The sequence below is a fragment of the Homo sapiens genome, chromosome X, assembly GCF_000001405.40.
Source record: "Homo sapiens chromosome X, GRCh38.p14 Primary Assembly".
Taxonomy (NCBI): Eukaryota; Metazoa; Chordata; class Mammalia; order Primates; family Hominidae; genus Homo; species Homo sapiens.
In genome coordinates, this window is record NC_000023.11 from 79,320,793 (window position 1) to 79,329,929 (window position 9,137).

At 37.0% G+C, this 9,137-nt stretch overlaps 1 pseudogene; it reads left to right on the forward strand.

The window, feature by feature from the left end:
• Window positions 2,507-3,993, forward strand: KIF4CP (kinesin family member 4C, pseudogene; annotated as a pseudogene).

Sequence of the window (9,137 nt, forward strand, 5' to 3'; positions counted from 1 at the left end):
GGTATATATTTAAGTATTTGCGGATAGGATAAAAAATGAAGAAGGGCAATTGATGAATCAGCACTGGCCATATATTGATAAAAATTGGGTGGTGGCTATACATATAAAGGCTAATCATATCTTTCTATCTTTGTATATATTTGAAATTTTCTATACTAATGAATTTAGTAGAAATCCTCTGGGTAGTACAAAATAGATTTTCATTTTCTCCAGTGGGTTGCATCTTTTTAAAGACTATTTTAAAAAGCCTCTAATGGTGACACAGATTCCCACATAGCTCCAATAGTTTAATTTGTCTCTATTTTCCACTCCATTCTTTCCTCCACCACAGGGTCCTGGCTGTATTTTAACATTCCCCTGCAATGTCAAGGTCTGGAATTCTGTAGGGCAAGAAGGCTCTTCATAGTCCTCTTTTAGATAAGATTTGGTTCTTCTATGTTCTCTGAAGAAAAGCATGTAGAAGACAACCCACCTCTTCTATTGATCTTATTTATTTCCTATCATATTGTTGCTTTTCTGTATTATTTTGTTAGACCACTTCTCATATATGTGCACAGACAGGAAGGAAAGATATACACGAATGGAACATGAAACACTCATTTTTAAAGGTAGAAAATTATAGACACCCAGGGGAGTGAGTCAGATTATCTGGACCCAAATCCCAGTACCATGAATTACTAGCTTCATGACTTTGGCACATTTTTCTGTACTATAAAATGGAATTAATAAAAGTATCTGCCTAATATGATAATAGGATACATTGTACATAGTATCCCATATTATATAGTATCCCAAGATAATGAAATAATGCATGTAAAGCACATGGCCTATATTAAACACTCAAAACATAGTAGCTATTATTACTATATCTTCACTGGCATTGTATCTTGCTATTTATCAATTGACAGGTGAAAAACTTTCTACTGTAATTTGTATCTCGTCAATTATTGGATTATTATTTATTTGTCTGATTTTTCTTCTGTGTATTTTTCATTCCAATCATTTATTCAATTTTGCTGATCAAGTAGTGTTTTTCTTGTTGAATAAGTAACCACTGAACAAAATAAGAAAGTAGTGAGGCTGTTTTTTATTTTTATTTAGTTTTTTTATTTAGTTTTTATTTTATTTTTATTTTTTTAGCAGAAAGTGCAAGATTGACCTCAATTTATTCAAATTCAGAATTTGTAAGATGGGTCCAATGCTGAGATGGGGAAAGACCCAGAATCAAGCCTTAAGAAACTTCAACATATTTTTTCAGTCTTGACTATCAGAGTTATGCTAGAGTTGAAAAATGAACGGGAAGGTGCAGCCTTTTCAGAAACAGGCTAGCAGTTCCTGGAAAAGTTAAACATAAAGCTACCATATGACCCAGCAATTCCATTCCTAGTATCTACCTAAGGGAAATAAAAACATATATCCACAACAAAACTTGTACAAAAATTTTCATGGCAGCATTATACATAGTATCCCACAAGTGGAAACAACACAAATTTCCATCAGTTGATTATTGGAAAAAACAAAATGTGGTATATGTATAAAATATATCACCCTGCTTTTATGTTTCTAAATAATCTTTTCATTAAACTTTTTTCAGTTAAACCCTTTGAGTATGCCATTTACTTTTTCTTTGGACACTGATTGTTAGAGTGGGTTAAGAGTTTTGCACAATTGTCTTTATAATTTAAACAATTTTTTTTATTTCTGGTTAAATCGTATTTCTTATCCCTAAAACTTATATTGTATCTATTATTGTTAAATATTAATATCATTAATAACTTACTCAATTCCTTTAATATATATAAGCCTATTCAGATTATGTAATTTTTTTGGTGTGAGACATGGCAGATTGTGTCTTTCAAGAACTTTGTCCATTTCATGAAGATTATCAACTTTGTGTGCATAGAGCTGTTTAAGATATTCCTTTCAAAAATAAATTCTTTCTTTCTTTCTTTCTTTCTTTCTTTCTTTCTTTCTTTCTTTCTTTCTTTCTTTCTTTCTTTCTTTCTCTCTCTCTCTCTCCCTCTCTCTTTCTTTCTTTCTTTCTTTCTTTCTTTCTTTCTTTCTTTCTTTCTTTCTCTTTCTTTTTTCGACAGAGCCTCACTTCATCACCCTGGCTGGAGTGCAGTGGTGCAATCTCAGCTCACTACAACCCCTCTTCCCAGGTCCAAGGGATTCTTTTGCCTCAGCAACCTGAATAGCTGGGATTATAGGTGTATGCCACCACTCCTGGCTAATTTTTCTTGTGTTTTTAGTAAAGGCAGGGTTTCACCATATGGGCCAGACTGGTCTTGAACTCCCAAGTTCAAGGGATCCTCCCACCTCAGCCTCCCAATGTACTGGGATTACAGGTGTGAGCTACCGCCCCTGGTCACCTTTATAATATATATTTTTCTACCAAAAAACACATGTACTCATATGTTTATTGCAGCACTATTCACAATAACAAAGACATGAAATCAACCCAGATCCCCATCAACAGTGAACTGGATAAAGAAACTGTAGTAAGGGGAGACCTGGGGAGAACCAAGAAAAGACATTGAGTTTGAGGCGGTGCTGAGATAGGATCATGAAGGAAGAGGTGAAGGGAATTCTTATAAGAGTGGCGCTGTGTTGTTGCCCTCTGGTCCCCAAAGAGATTATCGAGGGCTGCTGCCAGATATGCCTTTCCTTCGTGCCCAGGGAGCCTCAGGTAGTGGTTGGTACTGATAAATCCTTGAACTATGATTTTGTGTTTGACCCCAGTAGTGAACAGGAAGAAGTCTTCAATACAGCAGTAGCACCACTCATAAAAGGCATATTTAAATGATATAATGCAACGGTCCTGGCCTATGGGCAGACTTGCTCTGGAAAAACACATATTCAATGGGAGGTGCATACACTGCAGAGAAAGAGAAGGAATCAACAGTTGGGGTTATTCCTAGGGTAATACAACTGCTCTTCAAAGAAATTGATAAAAAGAGTGACTTGGAATTTACTCTGAACATGTCTTACTTAAAGATTTACAGTGAAGAAATTTTGGATCTTCTATGCCCTTCTTGTGAGAAAGCTCAAATAAATATATGGGAAGATCCTAAGGTTATTGATTTCTAATTTTATTCCTTTGTGATTACAGATGATACTTCATATTATTTTATTTTTTTTTAATGTTTTAAGCCTTGTTTTGTGGCATACCTTATGATCTATCCTTGAGAATGATCCATGTACTCAGGAAAAGAATGTGTATTCTATAGCATAAAGATTGTGATACTCACTGAGCAGACTGTTTTAGTTGCCTTGGATACTGTTTCCTATTTGGAGCAGCGCAACAACTTTAGGACTGTGGCCTCCACAGCTATGAACCCCCAGTCATCCCAATCTCATGCCATCTTTACAATCTCCATAGAGCAGAGAAAGAAAAGTGACAAGAATAGCAGCTTTCGCTCCAAGCTACATCTTGTAGACCTCGCTGGATCAGAAAGAGAGAAGAAAACCAAGGCTGAAGGGGATCATCTAAAAGAGGGTATTAATATTAACCGAGGCCTTCTATGCTTGGGAAATGTAATCAGTGCTCTTGGAGAAGACAAAAAGGGTGACTTTGTGTCCTACGGAGATTCCAAGTTGGCTCGACTGCTTCAAGGTTCTCTAAGTGGTAATAACCATACTCTTATAATAGGCTGTGTGAGTCCTGCTGGCTCCAATCTAGAGGAAACTAAATACCCTTCGCTATGCTGACAGAGCAAGAAAAACCAGGAACAAACCTGTTGTTAATACTGATCGCCAGATAGTTGAACTTAATCATCTAAAGCAACAGGTACAACAGCTACAAGTCTGGTTCCTACAAGCCCATGGAGGTACCCTGCCTGGATCTATAAATGTGTAACCATCAGAAAATCTACAATCCCTGATGGAGAATAAAAAATTAAAAGTCGTGGTCTGAGTGAGGCAGCTGGTCAGACAGCCCAAATGTTAGAGAGGATCATTTTGACAGAGCAAGTGAATGAAAAAAATGAACGCTGCTGGGCGCGGTGGCCCACGCCTGTAATCCCAGCACTTTGGGAGGCCAAGGCGGGCGGATCACGAGGTCAGGAGATTGAGACCATCCTGCCTAACACGGTGAAACCCCTCTCTACTAAAAATACAAAAAATTAGCCGGGCGTGGTGGTGGCAGGCGCCTGTAGTCCCAGCTACTCGGGAGGCTGAAGCAGGAGAATGGCGTGAATCTGGGAGGCTGAGCTTGCAATGAGCCCAGATCGCGCCACTGCACTCCAGCCTGGGCGACAGAGCGAGACAACGTCTCAAAAAAAAAAAAAAAAAAAAAAAAAAATTAACACCAAGCTAGAAGAGCTAAGGCAGCATGCAGCCAGAAAACTGGATCTTCAAAAGCTAGTGGAGGCTTAGGAAGACCAGAAATGGAAAGAAAATGTAGAGATCCACTGCTCTCTTCAGAGCCAGGAGGCAGGAACGTTTAAGTCTGCTGAAGTTGCACCCACAGCCCCCCCTTTCCCCCAGGTGCTCTGTCCCAGGGAAATGGGAGTTTTGTCTATAAGCCCCTGACTGGGAATGCTGCCTTTCTTTCAGAGATGCCCTGCCCAGAGAGGAGGAACCTAGAGAGGCAGTCTGGCTACAGTGGCTTTGCTGAGCTGTGTTGGGCTCCACCCTGTTCAAACCTCCCAGCGGCTTTGTTTACACTGTGAAGGGAAAACCACCTACTCAAGCCTCAGTAATGGTGGAGGCTCCTCCCTCCACCAAGCTCGAGCATCCTAGGTTGACTTCAGGCTGCTGTGCTGGCGGTGAGAATTTCAAGCCAGTGGATCTTAGCTTGCTGGGCTCTGTGGGGTGGGATCTACTGAGCTAGACCACTTGGCTCCCTGGCTTCAGCCTGTTTCCAGGGGAGTGAATGGTTCTGCCTTTCTGGTATTCCAAGTGTCACTGGGGTATGAAAAACAAAACAAAACAAAACAAAAAACCTCCTGCAGCTAGCTCGGTGCCTGCCCAAATGACTGCTTAGTTTTGTGCTTGCAACCCAGGGCCCTGGAGGTGTAGGCACCGGAGAGAATCTCCTGGTCTGAGGGTTGTAAAGACTGTGGGAAAAGCATAGTATGTGCGCTGGAATGCACTCTTCCTCATAGCACAGTTCCTCACGGCTTCCCTTCGCTAGGGAAGGGAGTTCCCCAACCCCTTGTGCTTCCCATGTGAGGCAACACTCCACCCTGCTTCTGCTTGCCCTCCATGGGCTGCACCTACTGCCTAACCAGTCCCAATTAGATGAGCCAGGTACCTCAGATGAAAATGCAGAAATCAGCCGCCTTCTGCATTGATCTTGCTGGGAGCTGCAGACTGGAGCTGTTCCTATTTGGCCATCTTGCCAGCCACCCAATGAATTATTTTTAAATGTTATGTAAGTAAATAAACCTTAGCCCACCTACAAAAAAAAAAAAAGAAAGAAAGAAACTGTAGTATGTATCACCATGGAATATTACACAGCCATAAAACAGAATGAAATCATGTTTTTTTGCAGAAACGCAGATGTAGTTGGAAGTCATTATCCTAAGAAAATTAATGCAGGAAAAGAAAACTGAATTCTACATGTTCTCACGTAAAAGTGGGAGCTAAACATTGAGTACACGTAGATAAACAGTTGGGAACAATAGACACTGGGGACTACTAGATGACAGAGGGATTGGGATGCCTGAGAATTTTTTTAAAAACTACCTACTGGGTACTATGCTCACTATCTGGGTGATGGGATCATTAATACCCCAAACCTCAGGGTCATGCAATATACTCTTGTAACTAACTTGCACATGTACCCCTTGAACCTAAAATGAAAGTTGAAAAAAAATTGCTTAGTATCATTTTAATCTCCATAGGATTTATAGTGATGTCTGCTTTTCATTTTAGATATTAGTAATTAGTGTTTTCTGTTTTCCTTTTTTTCCCAAATTCTAAAGTCTTTTTAATCTTCTGATATTTAAACTTTTTCAAGAGTGCCCATTAGTTTTTCTTTTAGGGTAGTTTTGTTTGATATGACTGGAGGTTGTAATTAATGGTATGCCAAATTTTCCATTCTTTGCAGAGATAGGTAATGCACCAAAATTGTCTTAGCTATTTCTTGGTCGCCAGTTTGAGAGACAAACACTGTTATTTTTAACAGCCCAAACTCCTCTCAGCCCCAATATCCTGACATCTTTAGTGAGTTAGGATAATCCTAACCTAGAGGTATATATGCCTGTGAGATTCCTGGCCTGAAAGGAATAAATCATTTCACAGCATTCATAGGACAGAAAAATAAAAACTAGGGCTCCTACAGTAAACAAGTATTATTTCTGTTCAAAACCATCCTGCAAGCCCAAAAATCAGCTGGCCCTAGAGTTTCATAACAGGTACACAGGTCACAGGCAGACAGGCGGGGCAGGAACAGGAATTTCTCTGGGTGCATGCTACTTTGGTTCTGCCTCAGAGGCACTAGAAGTCTAGGCCCTGCATTAGCACTCTCTTTTTCTTTCTTAATTAGCCTGGCTAGAGGTTTTTCATTTGTATTAATCTTTTCAAAGAACCACCTTTTGATCTGTTTATTTTCCCTATTGATTTCCTGTTTCTGAATGCATTGATTTTTGCTTTAATTTGTATTATTTCATTTTTTCTGCTCACTGATAATGTCCCTTGCTCTTAAGTCTGCTCTGCCTGAAATTAATAAAGCCATTCCCACTTTCATTTTTTTAAAACCACCTTATTAAGGTATGATTGACATATTAAAAGCTTTACACATTTAATATATACATATTTATAAATTGGGACTAGGTGTATACCTGTGTAACGATCACCACCATCAACACTCTAAACATATACATCATCTACCAAAGTTTCCGCCTGTCCCGTTTGTTATTAATACCTTTTTTCTTGTTTTTTAATGTTAAGAACATTTAATATAAGATCTATTTCTTTTAGCAATTTTAAGTGTACAATAGAGTATTGTTAGATATGGTCCCTATGCTATATAGTAGATCTCCAGAACCAATTTATTATGCATAACTGAAATTTTGACCCTCAAACTATCACCTTTCCATTTCTCCCTTACCTCAGTCTTTAGTAACCACCATTCTATTCTCTGTTTCTGTGAGTTTGACTAATTTACATACCACAAATAAGTAAAAGAATACAGTTTTTTTTTCTGTGTCTAGTTTATTTTACTTAACGTAATGCCTTCTAGGTCCATTCATTTTGCAACAAATGACAGAATTTGCTTCTTTTTTAAGGTCGAATATTATTCATATATATATTATGTCACAATTTCTTATTTATTTGTCCATTGATGGGCATTTACATGTTTCTCATATCTTGGCTATTGTAAATAATGCTGCAGTGAACATAGGAGTGCACATACTTCTTTGAAATTGTGGTTTAAATTATTTTGGATATGTACACCCAGAAGTGGGATTGCTAGATCATATAGTATTTCTAGTTCTAATTTGTTGAGAAACCTGCATACTGTTTTTGATAATTGATGTATATATTTACATTTTCACCAAGAGTGTACAAGTTTTCTCCTTTCTCCACACCTGCAGAATAATTTATCCTTTGGCATTTTATAATAGCCATTCAAACAGATGTGAGGTAATACCTTATTGTGGTTTTGATTTGTATTTCCTGGGTTATTAGTGATATTGAGCAACTATTCATATACTTGGGCATTTGTATGTTTTCTTTGGAAGAATGTCTACTTAGGTCCTTTGCCCATTATTAAAATTGGGTGTACTTTAGCTGTTCCACGGTATGAGTTTCTTGGATATTTTGGATATTAACCCCTTATCAGATGCATGGTTTGCAAATATTTTCTCCCATTCCATAGGTTGCCTTTTTATTTTGTTGTTTCTTAGCTCTGCAGAAGCTTTTTAGTTTGATGTATTCCCACTTGTTTATTTTTACATCTCTTGCTTTTGCTTTTTATGTCATATACGAAAATTATTATCAAAATCACTTTCTAGGAATTTTTCCACTTTTTTTTTCTAGGACTTTTACAGATTCATGCCTTATTGTTGGGTCACGAATTCATTATGCATTGATTTTGTGTATAGGGAAGATAAGAGTCAAATTTTACCTGCTTTCATGTAGATAACCAGTATTTCCAACACCATTTATTGAAGTGACCATTCTTTGCCCACTTGTATTCTTTGCATCCTTGTCAAAAGTTAGCTGACTTTATATGTGAGGATTTATTTCAGGGTTCTTCATTCTGTTCTATTGGTCTACATGTCTGTTTTATGCCAGTGCCAGTACTGTTTTAATTACTATAAATACGTAATATAATTGAAATCAAGAAGTCTGTTGTCTTTACTTTGTTCTACTTACTCAAAATTGCTTTGCTTACAGGGTCTTTTCTGGTTTCATATAAATTTTTGGATAATTTATTCTATTTCTGTGGAAAAGGCCACTGGAATTTTGATAGGGATTGACTTGAATCTGTTGATTGCTTTGTGTAGTATGAACATTTTAGCAATTTTACCTCTTCAATTCCATAACATAAAAATATATTTCAATTTATTTGTGTCTACTTTATTGTCTTTCAATTGTTTTGTAGTTTTCAGTGTACACCTTTTTCATTTTCTTTATTAAATTTATATCTAACTATTTTTATCTTTTTTGATGATATTTTAGATGAGATTTTAGGTAAGATTGTTTCCCTATTTTTTTCTGATAAGCTGTTATTATATAGAAATGTAACAGATATGAGATTTTAGATAAGATTGTTTCCCTATATTTTTTTCTGATAAAGTGTTAGTATATAGAAATGTAACAGATAATTGTAACTGATTATGTGTCCTGAAACATTACTGAGTTGATGTATTAGTTCTGACACTTTTTTGAGAAGTTTTTAGGGTTTTCAAAATGTAATATCTCATTATATGCAAATAAGACAGTTTTACTTTTTTCCATTCCTATATGTAAGACTTTTTTTGTTACCTAATTACACTGGCTAGGACTTCTAGTATTATGTTAATTAGAAGTGGTGAAGTGAGAATCCTTGCCTTGTTCGTGATCTTAGAGGAACAGTCTTCAATTTTTCATATTGTCTGTATTAGCTGCAGGTGGGTAATATATGGCCTTTATTATGTTGAGGTACATTTCTTATATACTTAATTGTTTGAGAGATTTTACCA